The sequence below is a fragment of the Homo sapiens genome, chromosome 17 (assembly GCF_000001405.40).
Source record: "Homo sapiens chromosome 17, GRCh38.p14 Primary Assembly".
Taxonomy (NCBI): Eukaryota; Metazoa; Chordata; class Mammalia; order Primates; family Hominidae; genus Homo; species Homo sapiens.
Window position 1 is genome coordinate 71,864,008 of NC_000017.11, and position 20,027 is coordinate 71,884,034.

General features: G+C 39.6%; 1 long non-coding RNA gene across 1 annotated transcript, besides 4 other annotated features; it reads right to left on the reverse strand.

Moving 5' to 3' along the window:
• Positions 1,520-2,543: an enhancer, noted in NCBI's record as "enh7". NCBI's record gives the evidence for it as "EXISTENCE:reporter gene assay evidence [ECO:0000049][PMID:21408189]".
• Positions 6,450-6,982: an enhancer, noted in NCBI's record as "E3". NCBI's record gives its function as "enhancer in cranial neural crest and inner ear" and the evidence as "EXISTENCE:transgenic organism evidence [ECO:0001131][PMID:16458883]".
• Positions 6,560-7,743, reverse strand: LOC107985015 (uncharacterized). Its single transcript, XR_001753061.2, has 3 exons — positions 7,680-7,743; positions 7,103-7,200; positions 6,560-6,657 (listed from the first exon to the last, which is right to left on the reverse strand). It is a non-coding gene; the product is annotated as an uncharacterized LOC107985015 (long non-coding RNA).
• Positions 6,636-6,731: a conserved region, noted in NCBI's record as "conserved region; E3". NCBI's record gives the evidence for it as "COORDINATES:sequence similarity evidence [ECO:0000044][PMID:11707075]".
• Positions 7,174-8,373: an enhancer, noted in NCBI's record as "BRD4-independent group 4 enhancer chr17:69867322-69868521 (GRCh37/hg19 assembly coordinates)". NCBI's record gives its function as "activates an origin of replication core promoter dependent on BRD2, P300/CBP, MED14 and CDK7 cofactors, and independent of BRD4, by STARR-seq in HCT116 cells {active_cell/tissue: HCT116}" and the evidence as "EXISTENCE:reporter gene assay evidence [ECO:0000049][PMID:35650434]".

Below are 20,027 nucleotides of genomic sequence, written 5' to 3' on the forward strand. Positions count from 1 at the left end.
GACAAGGTGCATATACTTTTTCATACTTTTTGTTATTTGTACAAAGCTATTTTGGTTAACTCCATAAAAACACAGGGAAATAGAAGCTTGAGGCCACCACTGGAATTATTTAAAACACAAAGAAAACCCATGTGTTTCATTCACACAGCAATTTGGGGTGAATGTGGTTTTCAGCCAATATTTTCCAGAAAAACCACTTAATCCCACAAGTTTCTTCTGAGTCTGAGACTCAACCAGAATCCCAGCTGACTGGCTTCATTCAGTCTGGAGACCCAAACTGGTCCGGGATATGCACTTAACATTTTTCTGAACTCTGGAAGATCAGAGAAAAATTACAGGTAATATGAAAATAGGAAATACTTGATGCCTTAGGAATTCTAGTAGGGCAGGAAAACACAGACTGAAACCCTACAACTGCTCAGTACAGTCGGAGCATCCTTGACTGTTTCCCATAGCCCTCATTTGATACTAACATAATCAGTATCAACACTCTGCAACCAGGCTTCCTGAGTTCATACCCAGATTTTACTGCTTACTAATAGTGAGGACCTAAGTCCCTCTACCTTGGGTTCCTCACACATAACGTGAGGATAATAGTATAAACCACATAGCATTCTTGTAGGCAGAGAATGATATTGTAAGCATAAAGCTGCTCACCAGAGTGCCTGGCATATGTCAAACACCCACAAATATCAGCAATTATTATCATCATTAGTTATATACAAGCAAATGCATATAAAGAAGTCTGACCATAAATTCAATATCACACTTACTGATGACCTAAAATCCTTATTACTAAGAAAGGAAGATCTGAGAACTGCCTTCCTAATTCTGGGCTCTAGTGCTCATCCATGGCAAATCATTAAAGAGGATTGAGAATCCCATCTTTCAGTCAAGCTCACTCTAACCTCTGAAAGCCCCATTCATTTCTAGAATCATCAATCAGTATTTATGGAGCACCACATCAGACAGTGAGAAAATTAAAGAAGGAGGAAAGTCCCCAGCTCCAGACAGACTCATCACCCAGGGAAGAGACAGCCATATTAACAAATAATTGCCATGCCTTAATGCACACAGAAAGCTCAGGGCAACAAAGAGGAAGGGGGCTTATATTATGCCTGAGGGGGTTGGAGAACGTTTGACCGAGAAGGGACATTAGGTCCCAGTCTTGGAGGATGAGAAAGAGGTCATCAAATAGAGGAAAAGGAAAAAAAAAAAAAAAAAAAGGACCCCACATAAAGAGTAGCAGATGCCAAAGCTTTGTGAAAGCTCTTACATGTAATGAATATATCAAGTTAGAAGTGGCTGAAGCAAGAGGTATAATGCAGGGATCAAACGAGCAAGTTTGGAGAGGGAATCACTGGAATATATTCCTTCTCCCCATTATGCAGAAAATTGAAATGAAAATTAACTAAAACATAAATTACTTAGCGATCTCCACACAAACCTCAAGTCTGAAAAATAGGACCCCCAAAATTATCCCTTCCACCCCCCAAAAAAATCACTTTCTTAGTTAACAGTGCATTTTACTTGCTCTTGCAAAAATCTCCCTGCCAATGCTTTCTTTCCACAATCAGAATCTTTTACTTTTAATGTACCAAAGGAAACGAAATAATATTTATTGTGTCTCTTGCATGTGCTTCTTAGAAAAATGGCATTAGCCTCATATGGAAATACTTTGACAGACCCCTGAAAATAATTCCTTAACCACAAACATGTCCTCTACTTGTCTGATCTCAAATTGCCTCAAATATCACAATTTCAGGTCAGATTTAAGGATATGACAGGCACTATCAGTCCATTACATATGAATGATATATGAGGTAGAGGGCAGAGGTGCTGGCACAGAAGACGGCCAGTTGTGGGGAAGCCCCATGCCTGGTTCCCTACAGTATCTGCCTCCCTGGGAACTTTCCAGGCCCACCTGAAGACACTTACCAGCCAACGGCTTCCTCTGCACAAAGGAGAAGAGGAACAATGGAAGCTCTCTCTGTGTTCATCATCCAGATACCATCTCGGAACCTCACTGGAGCACGATTATTGGAGGCAAAATAACACAGATAGGATTTCACATGCGAGCTTTGGATATGGGGCTAACAAAGATAGAGGGACACAAACAACCCCTCTCCCTGAGCCCCTGCCTTCCTCACAACCCCTTGTTGCTCTTTCGCTTCCAACTTCTAATTGGCAGACACCTGATCTGCATTTCGATTTCATTTTCTGAGCACACATGGCCACTTGAGACTCCCTGATACGTGTGGGAAAGGGGTGGCCATGTTGCCTGCACCTGTTGCGGAGACCTGCCCGCCGCCCCTCCCTTCCTGCCACCCCCATTGTGTGCCACCTTATTCTGTTTCAGTAGCAACAGAAAAGAAGTCAAAGTCACCGGCATTCAACAGGAACACATACAAAAAGGAAGCCAGAAAGCTTCCTTGTACCTCTTCTCCCACCACCCTGAAAAGCCTGCCCATTGGCCTACTTCAATAGTAAGTGTAGCAATCCTATCTCATTTCAGAGTTATGCCAGGTGAGAGTCGTAAAAGGTAACAACATAATCATTTCTCTGGATGGCCCATTGAGCATTATTGATATGAATTGGTTACACAAACACACACGCACACGCACACACAACCTAATAAGAAACTACTCATATTTGATATCCCCATGTAGACCATATCTATTACTTTTGTGAAAATAAAAAGATCAAAGATCAAGGGCACTGGGGACTTTTAACTTCCAAGAGAATACGTTGCAATACCAATAAACTTTCACAGCAACCACCTTGGAATGTAGACTGAAACTGAATAACTCTACATACAGATCTTAACGATGATGATAAGAACACACTCAAATTCAAAGGAGAGAAAGAAAGAAGTACAGCAGCTACCGTCCTGAGCAAACGTGCAGCAATGAAACAAGACCACATTTTGAAGTTTGATGGCCAAATGCCTTGGTTGGTGTCTGTCACCATGTGGATACTAAAATGTTAGACTATAATGATGCAGTGGGAGTAATAATACATCATAAGACCTGGAAATGGAAAGAATCCATGAAATCATCAAATAATGTTTTGGCCAGCAGAGGATGCAGTTCCCAGAGAATATTCCTTAAAGTCCCCCTTGGGTTGAGCTCTAAAGACCAAGTCACTTTATCCATCTCAGAAGAGAGTGATCTGTCCATCTGTAGTATCTGGTTTCTGCTATGAAATTAAACTTTGGCCTTAAAAGCATTGTTCCACACCAAACTAGTCCTTGGTACCAGGTTTTCATTAAGGACCAGCTATAGCCTATGGAGGAGGCAGGAAAGGTCATTTTATCCATTCCCCTACCTCCGGGCAGGTCTTGTGTGAAATGACACCAGCCTGGCTCTTATTATAAAATCCCCATAGCAGGAAGTTCTATAGCCCCTGCTGTAATACTGTTTTCCCATGACATATAACCCTCATGGTTAGAAAGTGTTTTCTGCAGTCTAGACACACTCCCTCCCACCGCAATTTTAAAACATGTTCCCACAGTAGCAGAGAACTATTTACCACATTCAAGGTCCCTGAAGAAAGAAAGCAACTTAATATTGCTCCCTCTATATTGCTTCTTGTAGCATGGTCTTAATTTCAGCTGAGCTTTTTATATCACAGTTTATCAAAAAAAAAGGTGATGTGGGCTTTTGGAAGGCAAGAGTTGTTCCTTTTTGCCATTTGTGGGTACTGCTGGGGATTTTAATTAGTTGTAAAGACAATGTGGAAAGTAGAGCAACATTCTTCCAATACCGTTAGTTCAGATTTTGATATGGTATGATGCAAACTGGCCTGAAGATCTGTTCAACTATTCATTGCATTATTTCATTTTCTTTTCTTTTTTTTTTTTTTTTTTTGAGACGGAGTCTTGCTCCGTCGCTCAGGCTGGAGCGCATTGGCGCAATCTCAGCTCACTGCAACCTCCGTCTCCTGGGTTGAAGCAATTCTCCTGTCGCAGCCTCCCGAGCAGCTGGGACTATAAGTGCCTGCCAAAGCGCCCGGCTAATTTTTGTATTTTTAGTGGAAATGGGGTTTCACCTTGTTGGTCAGGCTAGTCTCAAACTCCTGACCTCAGGTGATCCACCCGCCTTGGCCTCCCAAAGTGCTGGGATTACAGGCGTGAGGTACAGCACCCGGCCCATTATTTCATTTTCATTATATTGAAAAAATCATTTAAACATTTACTAAACTTGGCTGGGTGCAGTGGTTCATGCCTGTAATCACAGCACTTTGGGAGGCCAAGGTAGAAGGACCCCTTAAACCCAGGAGCTAGAGATCAGCATGGGCAACATAGGAGACTCCTGTAAAAAAAAAAAAAAAAAACTAAACTAAATTAAATATGTAAAAATGAATCCAAATCTTTAAAATATCATAAACACGCTAATTATAAATCTTTATTATCTACTCTTTTATTACTTAAAATAGGTAAAAGGGCAGATCCTCTTATTGGCAATCCCCTATCATCTTACTTTAAATTGTTATACATAATTGAAAGTAATGAAATAGCATGTCTCTGCAAAATAAAACTTGTTTTTATTGCCTTTAACTGCTCTTTTCAAAATTCATTCAGAGTAATAAAACTTAACAGTCTTTCAGTAAGGAATCTGAAAATACATAATGCAAGTTTCTGCTTCTGACAACTTCCTTACTGAATTTTTTTAATCAACTGGTGAGTAGACACCTACCAAAAAGGTGCTGCGAGGAAAGAAATCAGAATTAATCACTTTCGTGATAGTCTCGTTCTCTCAAATTTAAAAAACTTAAGTTTACAATAATAATTCATATTAAAATGCATGTTTTCATGTCAACATTTATGAAAACTTCTAAAATGTATCACATGAGTAAAAATGAAAGGATATTTTCAAGTTAAGTCACTTATATTTCATATATATTTCAAATTTCGAGAAAAACTTGAAGGCATTAAATTTTAGAGGTAAAAGTATGAGCTAGTGCCTTTGATAATATATACACCATTGTTTCCCTATTTTGTCCTGCATTAAAGAAGAAGAGAGGGGCAAGGGGAGAGGAGACATTTTCTTGAAGTTATCATTGAGGACATGGGAACTTCAGTGAATATTCCAATGTGAATTCCCTTGTAAAGTTGTCAAACTAGAATTTCTTCACATAGAATAAGAAAATTTAGTCTTATGAAATGTGTTTAAAAAAGAAATACCTTAACTCAAAGTGGGTCAATAATCTTAAGTATTTTCTTTCATATCCAATAATGCAATGTGTCCGTGAGCCCACAATACGTCTATTTGAGAGAATGATAGAAGTATCAACGTTTGGTACTCACATAAAATATGATAAAGGACCTTCCTGTTCCAGTCTCTGCCTCCAAAGAGAAACACACCTTTTATGGATTTCTAAACTCAGCCAGGGCTGTTGGGAAAACACTCACTTATCTATACCAACAATAACACTGAGCACTTTATTGAGTGCTTACCATGTGTTAAACACTTCACGTGCATCATATTATCTAATTTTCATAATCACCCTATGAAAGAGGCACTATCATGCTTTCCATTTTACAGGTGAGGCTCGTTGAGGTTAAGTACCTTGCCCAAGGTCACACAGCTGGTAAGTAGCAGGGCCAGGATTTAAGCCTAATAGTCTGCAGAGCCTCCTATGGTATTTTATACAAGGCTTTGCACGCAAATCTCTTTAAGTAGCACCTTTTACTATCATTCCACTTCCCTGGATCCAACAGATTCGACAGCTTGGAATCATTAGAAAAATAAAAGCACACAGAAAAGCAAATCAAATAGATCTGAAATAAAAACATTGCTTTAAAATACCTGTTTTCAATCTCATAACGAATAAGCACGAGAGGGAAATCAACCCTTCGGTTAAATTTTTTGTTTGTCTTAAAAACTACTGGACATCAAACTGCCTTACTAATTCTGATCTAATCATCGTTCTGTAACTTTGAGTCACAGTTAGAGCAGAGCAGCTCTTAGAAAAAGAGCAAGTGAGAATGAGACTAGCCTCCTACCTTTCTACTAGAAATAGTAACAGTAGCAGCAAGCACTTAAATCTGCCAAGGGCACTTCTAGGAAAATTTCTAAACCATCTGTCCCCTGAAAAGAACAGAATTTAACTACAGACAAAAAAGAAAAAAAAATTAGAAAATAATTGCACACATGCCATTTTCAATAAAAAGCAATTTCTTATTTTAATTAAAGATTTTGTCTATTTTATTCCATCATCTCTCATTTAACATAAAATATAAATAGGAACAATTCCATAATAATGAATTACTCCTTTTTAGGGTTCAGCTGAATACTCACAAGTAGAGCTTCTGCATTTATTTTAGATTTAAAAAACAATGAAATGCATTACTGTTATTAAATATGATTAGGTATTTTGCGACACAGGAAGTAATTATTTGACACAACTGGCAGTTTCAGTTGACCTTAGAAAGTTTGTCTCTCTCTCTGGTCAAGCACTCATTGCTAAGAGCAAACGGATGAGTTTCAAAGCACTGGTTTGGACCGCTGGAAACAGATAATCAACAGATGATAGAAACATACCCTTTTTGGGGGGTGGTTTTTGTTGTTTTTTTTTTTCTTCCAGATCTTGTCAAAGGATGATTGATATGTGTGGAGCAGCCCTTCAAACACCAGCCACAGCCTGAGGCACTTCCTATAATCAAAGCACACGCCCACCCAGAACTAATTAGACATTAGATTAGTGTCAACTGATTGATTTAAAGCAGCTCTCTCTCCTTTCCCTCTCCTCCACCCCCCAGCAATGCAAGGATAGGGTTGGTCTACAAAATGACTCTCTCTCAACAGACAGACAAATTATTCATGGAAGCTTCAGGAAGGAAACCTAGAGACAATGCAGTGTGGCTAAAAAGCAACCAGAAGAAAATTTCTGGAAGGAAAGGGTGGGGGGTGGGGGTAGAACAGAACAGAGAGAGAGAGGGAAAAAAAAAGAGAGAATGAATCATGTTTCTGAAAGCAATGAAACCCCTCGGTCCAATTTGTTGAATTAAGTTAGAGAGAGTGTTTGTGATGTTTGAAAGAAAATTATTTGCAATTTAACCTAGGAGAGTTCTGAGTACATTTGGCTACAATTTAGATACCATTTTTCAAAGTCTTTTTCCTTCTTCTTTTTTTTCCTTTATAAATATATGAGCCGGGAACATTCAACGTTGTCTTAATGGATTAAGCAGAGACAAGGCTGCAAGGAGCAAATTAAAAATGAAATAGTTACAGCTGTTGGAACTGGCATTGGGCAGAGAGAGGTAAAAAGGATTTCTCTTCTTACAGGATAAGGGAGATTTCACCAAGCCTTTGCAGAGTTCAGACATGCGTGCCTACAAAACGGTAAGAGTGAGCCCTCGCCTCCTTAGCCACTGCACACTTCAGTTGCTGCTTAAGCCTGTAGAGGGGCCCAAATAGTTGTATTTCAACTAAAAAGTGAACATATTCCCAGAAGAGACCACTGGAGTAGGAGGGCAGCCAGGGGCCAGTTTTAGACTTTTCATTTGCAGATTAAAAGCCTTTTCCATTTGTCAGGGTCTGCTGCTACTGCACTCTGGAGTCAGGGCTGATCCAACAAAAACACACCTCTGGAATTATTTCTGTAAATATGCCCCCCAACAGTCCCGCCCCAAGAAGTGCTATAAGAGCAGCAGAAATGTATAAGAAAGATACTACCAGCCAATGGAACTCCAGCAGTCTTCATATAAGGACACTCTTCCATCTCATGGCTTGGAGAGGGCTAGAGAAAAGGAAGAGGTGTTAGTGAATGATTTGGGAAGAAGGAGCAGAGGGTGAGAAGAGCAGCAACGGCCAAACAGTAGAATTGGCATTCCTGTGAGTCATTGTGCATATTTTTAGAGCTCTTTACAGCTTTCAAGGCTATATGTATTATCTCTTTGATTTCCCACAACATCCCTAGAAGACAAAGTATATGCCATTATTAACTTACAGATTTGATATTTCATGCATTACAAATAAAATGATGGAGGCCAATATTTCTCCTTCTCCCTACCTAGGTCATGGAACAAGTCAATGATATGAAGACTCAGTCTCAGATATAAAGACTTCCAGTTTCTACTTACTGGTCTTCCAAAATGTTGCATTGTCTCCCAACCCTCTGCCACAGTAGTATGTTTTAAGACAGAGTTTCACTCTTATTGCCCAGGCTGGGGTGCAATGGTGCGATCTCTGCTCACTGCAACCTCCACCTCCTGAGTTCAAGTGATTCTCCTGCCTCAGCCTCCTGAGTAGCTGGGATTACAAGTGCGCACCACCATGCCTGGCTAATTTTTGGGTATTTTTCATAGAGATGTGGTTTCACCATGTTGGCCAGGCTGGTCTTGAACCCCTGACCTCAGGTGATCCACCTGCCTCGGCCTCCCAAAATGCCGGGATTACAGGTGTGAGCCACCATACCCGGCTCTCAATGGTATTTCATATGTATATTTACTTTCTGAGTTTTAAACTTTGATACCCCATCCATATGAAAGCATTCTATTATCTGAAGAGCTATCCCTCTTAGCTCAATAAATGAGCCAGACCTCAAGCTGGAAATGTAGGTTACTAGAGACGATCTGCAGGTTCCAGAGGAGGAATTAATAAACTCTGCATTCAATACAGGAGAGATAACTCAGTTTTTATTTTATGCAGGAAGTAAAGACTTAAGCTGATTCCCACGAAAGCAGTCAAGATGCAGGGAAGAAGGTATTGAGAACTTACGACTGCCCTGCAAAATATGTCCTGAAAAAGGACTGATGTTCCTGGAGTCCAGAATGCAACTGGCACCAGAGCAGAGTTGAATGATTGTTATAGTTTTCTTGTATCGGGATCTTAGCTCCTAATGACAGCTTCTGAGAACTACTCTGGTTGAAATATGAAGCCACAAAAGGGCATTAGTAGGTGAAGTCTGGACAATTCCTTCCATGTCACTGTTTCTCCCTGGCTACCTGGTCTCCCTGTGGAGACAGAAATTTAGAGAACAGAATTAGAAAGCCAAGAGGGGTGAGGCATAAGGGAGAGTCCTCCAAATGCCGATTCGGCAAATTTTAACTTTTTCAGCTATAAACCTTTCAATACCTCAAAATAAATCCTTCAATTTTATATGAGAGTTTGGTTTCTGCAGCTGTAGATTTATGCAGTGTGCTGAGGCCAGGCCAAAAGAAGTGAACATAAACGATGTGACAGATAGCGTAAGGATGTTATTCAGCTTCTCACTCCGGCATGGCTCACTTAAGAACTTTCCAAATGTCAAGCATAACCCCTCTCACTAATTAGCTGCTAAAGCAGCTGATCTTCTGCCATGGACATGTGTTCCAACTGCACAACTGCAGGCCCTCAGCTTGAGAGGTGCTGCAGAAAGCAGTACACTTCCTCAACCCTGGCCTGGGTCTGAGACACATAGCCCAACACATCACCCCAAGCATCACTGGTGCAGACGCATCTGTTGACCACAGGCCTGCCCTCTCTGTGTGCCAAGTCCTGCTTCTTGGTTGCTCATGGGAAATGGAGTACTGAAATATAATGTGCTTCAGGAGCCAGCTATATTTACTAGGAAATTATTTAAGACAACAAGACAGTGTAGAACAAAATAAACCTATCACCATATTGCCTTGATTGAATTGCTTAAGAATAAATTAACTAATAGTTTTTGGAAATTATTATGAATCAGGCTCTGTGCTAGTTTTCTCCTAAGTATCTTAGTTAAACTTTTTAATAACAGAGCAAAGTAGACAGTGTCAACTTCATTCTGCAGAGGAAGAAACTAAAGATCAAAGAGGTTGAATGCTGTCTTAGTCCATCGTATGCTGCCGTAACAGAATGCTTGAGACAGAGTGATTTATTAGGAACAGAAATTTATTTTCTTGAGGTTCTGGAGGCTGGCAAGTCCTAGATCACGGCAAGATTTACCTGGTGGGAGCTACATCCTCACATTGTGGAAGGAAGGGCAGGAGGCCCAAATGCTTTGTGAAGCCTCTTTTGTAAGGGCGTTAATCCCATTCGCAAAGGAGAAGCCCTCACGGCCTGATCACCTCTTAAATGCCTACCACTTAATACTATCACATTGACAACAACTGAATTTTAGAGGGTGCACATTCAAACAATAGTAAATGCCTCACCTGAAAAGCATCCAGGTAGACATTTGACAAATGACCCTGTCTCCTTTATCTTCAACATCATGTGATTAACTTGATAATTATTTCAAAAATAGCAACCTATAAATAGGAAACTGAAAATTTTTATCTAGGTAAAATTTTTAGAAGAGACCTAAGTTGTTTCTCATCCATGAAAACCATGAAGGCTTTATCATCAGAGCTTCAACAAGAGAGTGGAATTTATTAACAATGACTTGGACCACTTTTTATGCAATTTTAATTTTTTCATAGTTTCATGTGTGTGAGTTCCACTTCTAGCCAAAATGAAATAAAAAGAACCATATTTTTTTCAAACTACCCATCTGACAAGGGGTTAATAACTGGAATATATAAGGAGCTCAAACAACTCTATAGAAAAAAAAATCTAATAATCCAATCAAACAATGGGCAAAAGATTTGAATAGACATTCCATGAAAGAAGAAATATAAATGGCAAACAGACATATGAAAAGGTGCTCAAAAATCATTGATCATCAGAGAAATGCAAATCAAAACTACAATAGGATATCATCTTACCCCAGTTAAAATGGCTTTTATCCAAAAGACAGGCAATAACAAATCCTGGTGAGGATGTGGAGAAAAGGGAACCTTTGTACACTGTTGGTAAGAATGTAAATTAGTAAAACCACTATGGAGAACAGTTTGGAGGTTCCTCAGAAAACTAAAAATAGAGCTACCATATGATACAGCAATCCCACTGCTGGGTGTATACTCAAAAGAAAGAAAATCAGTGCATTAAAGAGATATCTGCATTCCCACGTTTTTTATAACTCTGTTCACAATAGCCAAGATTTGGGAGCAACCTAAGTGCCTGTGAATAGATGAGTGGATAAAGAAAATGTGGTACTTCTACACAATGGAGTACTATTCAGCCATAAAAAAAAGAAAATGAGATTTAGTCATTTGAGAAAACATGGATGGAACTGGAAGTCATTATGTTAAGTGAAATAAGCCAGGCACAGAAAGACAAACATCACATGTTCTCACATATTTGCGGGATCTGAAAATCAAAACCATTGAACTCATGGAGATAGAGGGTAGAAGGACAGTTACCAGAGGCTGGGAAGGGTAGTGGGGGTGTGATGGGAAGGTGGGGATTGTTAATGGGTACAAAAAAATAGAATGAATGAATAAGGCCTAGAGTTTGATAGCACAATAGGGTGACTATAGTCAATAATTTAATTGTACATTTTAAAATAACTAAAAGAGTGGAATTGGATTGTTTGTAACACAAAGGATAAATGCTTGAGGGAATGGATACCCCTTAATGGGATTATTATGCATTTCATGCTTGTATCAAAACATCTCATGTAACATATAAATATATACACCTACTATGTGCTTACAGAAATTTAAAATAAACAATTTTTGGCTGGGCGCCATGGCTCAGGCCTGTAATTCCAGCACTTTGGGAGGCCAAGGCAGGTAGACTATCCGAGATTAGGAGTTTGAGACCAGCCTGGCCAACATGACAAAACCCCATCTCTATTAAAAATACAAAAATTAGCTAGGCATGGTGGATCGCGCCTGTAATCCCAGCTACTTGGGAGGCTGAGACAGGGGGATTGCTTGAACCCAGGAGGCAGAGGTTGCAGTGAGCCGAGATCGTGCCACTGCACTCCAGCCTGGGTAACAGAGCAGGACTCCATCTCAAAAAAATCAATAAATAAAATAAAGTAAAATAAAATAAAATAAACCTTTTTTAAAGAACCATATTTGCCTTCTTGTCTGAAACAAATTTTAAAATGTGGGACAAAAATACATGAAGCAATGGTTTTAAAGACAGTGGACATTAGTCAATGAAGGACAGTGAGCCCCAAAAGAAGGAAAACAACAGAATAAACCTCTATAATTGACCCAGCCTACTGCCTGTAGAGAATCTCAAAAGTGCAGTACAAGGAAGGGGGAACCCAGGGAGCTTAGCATTTCCTGGGAGTTGAACAGACAGATATGATTGTCTGGGGAGGATGGTCAGCTAGAGTTTGCAGGACAGACTCACGTATACAAAATATCACATATATGTATATATAATCATGTAGGGTGTGTGTGTATCCAAGAGCCCCTTATGACTCTCTATTATTTATGTAGTCCTTTTGTGCATATAAATTTTTTCCTATTTTCTTAGGGATATTATTTATATTTTTGAAATTTTCTTCTGCTCTTTGCATTGTTTCTATGCCTCTACTTTACTTTCTCTCTCTCTCACTCTCTCCCTTTCTCCATTCCGCACCCTCTTCCCCGTCTTTCATGTCCAAGTGGAGGCTTCTGTCCATGCCTGGAGATCCTTGCCTATCAATTCCTGTATCTGCAAGAAAGGCTTTTGAGATGATGGGCTTCATTGTAGAATCAATGGGAAGGAACCTAACCATTTTGTTTAGGGAAACCCCCAAATATCACCATATCCAGCTTTCTCAGGGGCTTTTTATTTTTCCAGGGAATCATTGACTGTCTCTCCTGAGGGTACTAGAGGAACTTGGCGTGTGGATAATGTACTTAGCATCCAGTATTCTATTGACATGTCAATATGTAAGCCTTGCCCTAGTCCTGTGTTTTCCACATAGGGCAATACCATCACTCCTGGCTTTCAGTTTTGTTTGGTGTTCTCCAGAAAGTAAATCCTGCCTCCTGTTAGGGTAAGGCTTGGGATGTGATGAAAAATGTTGAATGCTATCTTTTAGTATTTTCATGTCCTTTACTCTTGCCTTCCTTCATTCTGTCCTTCGAAACAACTGCTTGAAATTCACTGTTTCATTAACATAAACAAGCTTATTTTTAATTCACATATTTATCTGCAGGTGCATGGGTTTCAGCTCCCTCCAGTCTGTTGAGTCATTTAGCAAACTAGTTGCCCTGTTCCCATTAGCTACCTGTTGAAGAAATTTCTTGTTCATTGTTTTCACCCTTCCTGATTTTTTTTTTTTTTTTTTTTTTTTTTTTTGAGACAGAGTCTCGCTCTGTCGCCCAGGTTGGAGTGCAGTGGCGTGATCTCAGCTCACTGCAAGCTCAGCCTCCTGGGTTCACGCCATTCTCCTGCCTCAGCCTCCCGAGTAGCTGGGACCACAGGCGCCTGCCACCACGCCCGGCTAATTTTTTGCATTTTTAGTAGAGATGAGGTTTCACCGTGTTAGCCAGATGGTCTCGATCTCCTGACCTCGTGATCCTCCCGCCTCAGCCTCCCAAAGTGCTGGGATTACAGGCGTGAGCCACCGTGCCCGGCCTCACCCTTCCTGATCTTTTAACCTCATGGATTTAAACTTTCTTTGAAATTGTTTTATGCTATGTTAGTACAGTTTTGATGGAAAAAAGAAATGTACATACTATATGTTGTATTATATGTATTCAAACGTGTGCTCAAACAAGGAGGAGTCAGGGTGCAGAGGAATTGTTTCCTAAATTATTATTAGCAAGCAATCCACCTTCTGAAGTGTGATGGCCTGGACTCACACCCTTGCTTATCTGTTTATTTTCCCATTGTGCAGATGAGCAGGCTGAGACTTACAATTATTAAATCAGTTGTTCAAGGTCACAAAGTTATACTTCTATCTCAGGGTTGTTATGAGTATCAAATAAGATAGATCACTTAGCATAGTTACTATCTCCTCATAACAGTTTAAAAATGTTATCTTTCACGATTAAACACCTGGTCCTTATTGATTCTCCAACTTCTGAATATGGTGCAGGTAGGCCTGCAGAAAAGTGGAAAGTAAAAAATTGGAAAGATACATGAAGGAATAGGACACATTATGCTCAGCTGGGGAATAATGGCATTTCAGTGAAAGTAATAGTAGGTATGTCAACTCAATTGTAGTACTTAAATTTAGTTTTTTGGGTTTTTTTGTTTGTTGGTTTTTATATAATCAGCTTTGGAAACAAAATGTGTTGGGAAAATAATAGAAAACTAATAATTCTTTCAATAGCATAGGCTGAATATTTCCTTAAATTGTAAGAAAAATAAAGCATAAACCTTTAAGTCGTTCCTTGAGCAGATATCTTTAGAGTGTACTAATGCTGCATTTAATTATATTTTCTAAAATCTCTTAATCTGCTACTTTTCTATTTGATTTTATTTTGTTTCCAAGTAATATCTGAAAGTTTTAGCCTCCAGCCTAAAAGGCAGGAATAACTGGTATCAGACTAGCTCTCCTACAATAAACAACTAGCAAACTGGAGAAAATATATGAAACAGTTTTTGGACACTGAACAAAGAGATGATACATGGCTGTGATCCCTGAGAAAAGAGTAAAAATAAAACGAGACTTGTGATCACAGTGGCCTTCTGCCTGGAAGCAGTTTCTGAATCAGGTGCTGAAAACAAGCAAAATACAATGGTTTCCTTGAGCTTAAAAGACAAAAATCAGAGTTTAGAGGTGGCTGGAATTTGTGTGGCTGAGTATCAGAAAGGATGGAATCTATACAGCAGAGACCCAGAATCTGCATAGAGGTTTGTTTGAGTCTCTGGTCATATGCTTAGAGTAAAATTCCACAAATCTGAAAAAGGAACAAAGAACAGAGATAGAACAACTTATTGACAAGCTATCTGGAAGAAAATATTTGCATTTCATATATCTGAAAGAAGACTTCAATCCAAAATATGTAAAGAATACTTACAACTCAATAATAAGGAGCTAAACACACCAATTGAAAATGGAAAATTTGGCCAGGCATGGTGGCTAATGCCTGTAATCCCAGCACTTTGGCAGGCTGAGGCAGGGATCACCTGAGGTCAGGAGATCGAAACTAGCCTGGCCAACATGGTGAAACCCTGTCTCTACTAAAAAAAAAAAAAAAAAAAAAAAAATTAGCCAGGAGTGGTGGTGCATACCTGTAAGCCCAGCTACTCGGGAGGCTGAGGCAAGAGAATCACTTGAACCCGGGAAATGGAGGTTGCAGTGAGCTGAGATGTCACTGCACTCCAGCCTGGGGGACAGAGCAAGACTTCATCTCAAAAAAAAAAAAAAAGGAGAATTTATTTGATCAGCCACTTCACAAAAAATGTATAAATGACCAGTGAGCACATACAAAAGTGCTTATTAGACAAAATGGAAATGCAAATGAAAACAAAGAAGGAGTACTTTACAGTTACTACCACATACTAGAATGGCTAAAATGTAAAAGACTGACAATACCAAATGTTGTAAATGTTGCAAAGATTTGGAGCAACTAGAACTCTCCTACATTGCTGGTGGCAACGTACAACAATGTAGGAGAGGCCCGGGAATGACTCTTGCTGTCCCAATCCAGCCAGAGGATTCTATGAAGCCTCTCCCTCAATCATTCTAGGGAAGGGAGACAGTAACAATAGGATGTAATTGAACCTTCAGGGTCTTGGCAACTGGGAGGAGAAAAAAAAATTACAAGAAACTGTCAGTCTCTTTGCAAAATAGACTGGCAGTTTCTTACAAAATTTAAAAATGTACCCACTCTGTGATCTAAGAATTCTACTCCTGGCTGTGTATCCAAGAGAACTGGAAACATAAATCTCCAAAAAGATTCCTACATAAATGAATGTTCATAGCAGCTTTCTTTATAATAACCCTAACTTGGAAACAACAGAAATGTTCCTCAGTGGGTAAATGGGTAAACAAATTGTTTATATTCATACAATGAAATATACTTAGCAATTTAAATAAGCTGCTTTCAAATACAGTGACAAAAAGGGATCTCAAAATCTTCATGCTAAAATAAGATGTAAAGAATTCATGGTATGAAATTTTAGAACAAGCAAAACTAATCCATTATATAGAAATCAGATCAATAATTGCTTGGAGCAGGATTGGCTGGTAAGGGACATAGACATTTTCTTAGATGAAAATGCTCTGTATATTGACTTGCGTAATGTTTACATGAATATATAAATTTGTTAAAAATCCCCAAACTGTATATCAAATATCAGTGCTGTCTTAAGGTAACAGTAGGCTGCTCTGCTGAGCTCAAATTATTATTAAATGTTTCACCACAACACATTTCCATCTACTGAACCATTTAGAAGATTTTTTTAAAAAGTGGAAAAATAAGTGTGATTTATTGTAATTAAATATAATTCAACAATGTTTATTTTTAAATGTTTATGCTAATACTCTTCTCCAACCAAGAGTGATCTGAATTCTAAGGGAGGACCGAAGAGCTTTGGTGCACAATTAAAGAACACTTAGCTGCCAGAAGAAGATGAGGGGTCTCTGCCGTGCTACTATGGTGGGAATCTGCAAAGTCAGGTAGGGTGCATTCCCAAGTTAACTTCTAAATCTAAGGGACTGTATTAGTCTGTTCTCACACTGCTAATAAAGACATACCCAAGACTAGGTAATTTATAAAGGAAAGAGGTTTAATGGACTCACAGTTCCACATGGCTGGGGAAGCCTCACAATCATGGCAGAAGGCAAAGGAGAAGCAAAGTCACATCTTACATGGCAGCAGGTAAGAGAGCTTGTGCAGGGGAACTCCCATTTATAAAACCATCAAATCTCATGAGACTTATTCACTACCATGAAAACAGTATGATGGAAACTGCCCCATGATTCAATTATCTCCACCTGGTTCCGCCCTTGACACATGGGGATTATTACAATTCAAGGTGAGATCTGGGTGGGGACACAGCCAAACCATATCAGGGACCTATGAGGAGTAAGGATCAGGCAACTAGCTCATGATCAGAAGCATCAAAATTAGAATGAGATATGAAGCATTCATATCAAAAAGGAGTTAAAATGAAAAACACAGAAGATCTGTGACCAATGAAGACCAGAAATACCATTTGTCCTTCCTAGTAGAAGAAGGGACAATATCATAAGTTATTAGACCTATAAGCACAAACATGGTCAGGCTAAAGAATGTTAACTGCCAGCAGAGAATGCTAAAGGACTTGGATTATCCTGCCCTCTTTACTGGTGACTCCTTTTCCAACTGACTGACTGTTAGTTGCCCGTGTTTACTCAAACTATGTTGGTATTCAAAGTTGAGTCTTCTCTGACTGCAGATCGAGAACATATCCCAGAATATTTCTCTCTCTGCTACAAAACCATTTGAGAATAGAGACCAGAAATCTTGTCATTATAACAGCAGGAATCTACAGAAAGTTTGGCATTGAATTCCTTCAGACATATGTTATGGCAAATGACGTACAATTATAGGGAGAAGTATGTAAGTCTACAGCATAGGTGCTAATCAGTCTGAACATTTTCTTAGCCCTGAATCCCATTCAAAGGAAAAATTTTTCTTTTAAAAGCCATGAATCATTAACATTTCAATACACTAAGCTTAGATCTGGCAACTTAAGGAAATTTTTCAGAGGAAAGGCACACAATCTAAGTGACTGTCTTAATTACCTGCATCAACCCAATTAATTTGTGGTGTATTTCAAGCTGAAACAAAGGCCCAGGAATGAGTCTTGCTGTCCCAACCCAGCCAGAGGATTCTATGAAGCCTCTCCCTCAACCATTCTAAGGAAGAGAGACAATAGGATGTAGTTGAGCCTTCAGGGTCTTGGCAACCAGAAAGGGAAGCTCTGCCTGAGCTCCTATCAGTGTGGAAAATCACTTCATAAGTAGCTACAGTGAAGACACTGTACAGAGAATCCAAGGGGCAGACTGTAAAACATCTATAAAGGGAAAATGTTTAAATTCTTCTTAAAGATGAGTCTTGCCATCTGAATCAACAGACGGCTAAAATGCAAAACCTCCTCTGAGATCTTTAACAGCCTCTTGGTTGTATATGGCTCCTTTTCCCACTATAAGTCATTATCACTGATGGATCCCAAACTGGATCCTGGGGGGATCCCGACAGCCAGGAGGTATCTACCTACTACCTGAGTGTCCCTACTCCTCAAATAGTTCTTTGCCATGCTTATTCCACCAGATTAGACCCTGGCATGTAGCCACCAGCTTACAGTAGGCTTGAACTTGCTCTATGAGATGCCCTACTTTGAACTGTTCTGTGTAACAAATCGATACTTACACAAAATAGATGAAAACCTAGGTGACGTGTTTAATAGGGAAGCTGAGAAGTATAACCTTTCTTGGTCTTATCACCTGTAAAATCCCCCTTAGTCCATTTTTGCTGTCTGAAAATCCATCATTGCAAGGTTTTCTTTTGGGGGGGGGGGGGGCTACGGTTGAAAAAAATCGACTAACATGCAAAAAGCACACAGACAAATCATTAAATCCTTATTAATCATCAACTACTTGCTATGAATTATCCTGTTCTAAATGTTTCCAAGGAAATAAAGGACAATTTTTACAGGAAGTGAAAATATAAACCCCATGCAGTGACCAAGTGGTAAGAAGTTAAGTGAGAGTAAAGAAATTGGGGCAGCTCAGGGCACCGGAGATCTAGGGAGGAGAAAAAAAACACATCAAGAAAACTAAAAGAAGAACTAAACAATTGTCCAAGACCTATTTTAACCATTTCACAAGTTTGCAGACTACTCTGCCATAGGGAAAAGTCCATGGTCAACACTTCTGGAAGAGCAAAAGCCCTAGATTACCCACATCCCAAGCTACTTTCAGCAAACAACTGAGTAGAGTCAATGAAAAGTCACCACAGTCCCTCTAGGAATGGTAACATGTAGTAGCTTCAGGCCATGGCATCATCAAATGTGGGATGGCCACCAGCCCACAGATTAGAGGAAGTGTTCCTGGACTGGAAGGCTGGGCTGGGCTAGATGGGTCTACATGGTTTTATTCGGGAGTCTCTGAGAAGCAACGTCTGATTTATTGTAGATGAGCCACAGCCTGGAATAAATGATATGGCATTTTATTTTTTTCATGATCTGAAACATTTGATACGGTATTTTAAAATAAATAAGACAATTGTCTATGTGATTGGGGTGCCTAACAAACACCAAATGCTCTGCTAGTTCTCATTTTCAATAAATGCACAATCTGGTAACTGACAAGCAAACGAACAAGAATAGGGTTAGTGCTTAATAGAGAAATGTGCAGAATGCTAGGTGAGTCTAGAAGAGGGTTTCAAACACACTCTCAGGGACGGCTCCGCAGTGCAGGCTATATCCTGCTAAGGATAAGCTAAGGCTTGAAAGATGGAGGAGGGTGAATTCCACACAGAGGGAGCAGCAGCGTAATCTATCCACAGGAAGGCAGGCAGACCAGGGTGCCTGGAGTGTGTGAGGGTGAGAGGTGAAACGGCAAAGGATAAAGCCAAAGAGGAAGAGGCCAGCATCCAAAGGGTCTTCCTTATATGTCCCGCTAAGCAGCTCAGGGAAGCATGTGTCCATGTTTGTATATACATCCCACCTTATTCCAGAAAGGATTGAAAGTGGCTGTTGCTAAAGAACTTGGATTGCATTATGAAGGCAATTGAGAGTAATTGAAGGATTTCAAGCAGGGAATGACATGCTCAGGCATGCATTTAAGAAAGATTATTCAAGCAATGTAGAAAATAAATTGAAAGGGGTTCAGGGAAAGGAATGAGACTTTAGGCAGTTAAGGCAGAATAGAGGCAATTACAATAATCCAAGGGAAAAATGATGCTGGCCTGGACTAATGCAGTGGCACTGGGAAGGGAGAGGACTGGAGAGATTTAGGCATATTTAAGATTGAGCAGAATAACTTATAAGCTAGTGGACCTAACGATACTTAATACTACGGGGGTAAACTGAGTAGAAAGCAATTACTCAGGAAATGTGTCTTGATCGGGAATCTGAATGAGGGAGACAAATGATCTAGATGATTTGTGTGATATTAGACAGCATGTATAGCATGAAACTAATACAGTTTCAGGTATCATGAGTTTACTTTGAATTTCGATTCAAATCAGCAGCCTCGTTTCTTTTAAGCAAAGCCTTATTTCTCTCAAGGTACAAACTTCTGAGATTGTCCACTTGTCATAGGTACTCTAGAAACTACTTAGCTCATTC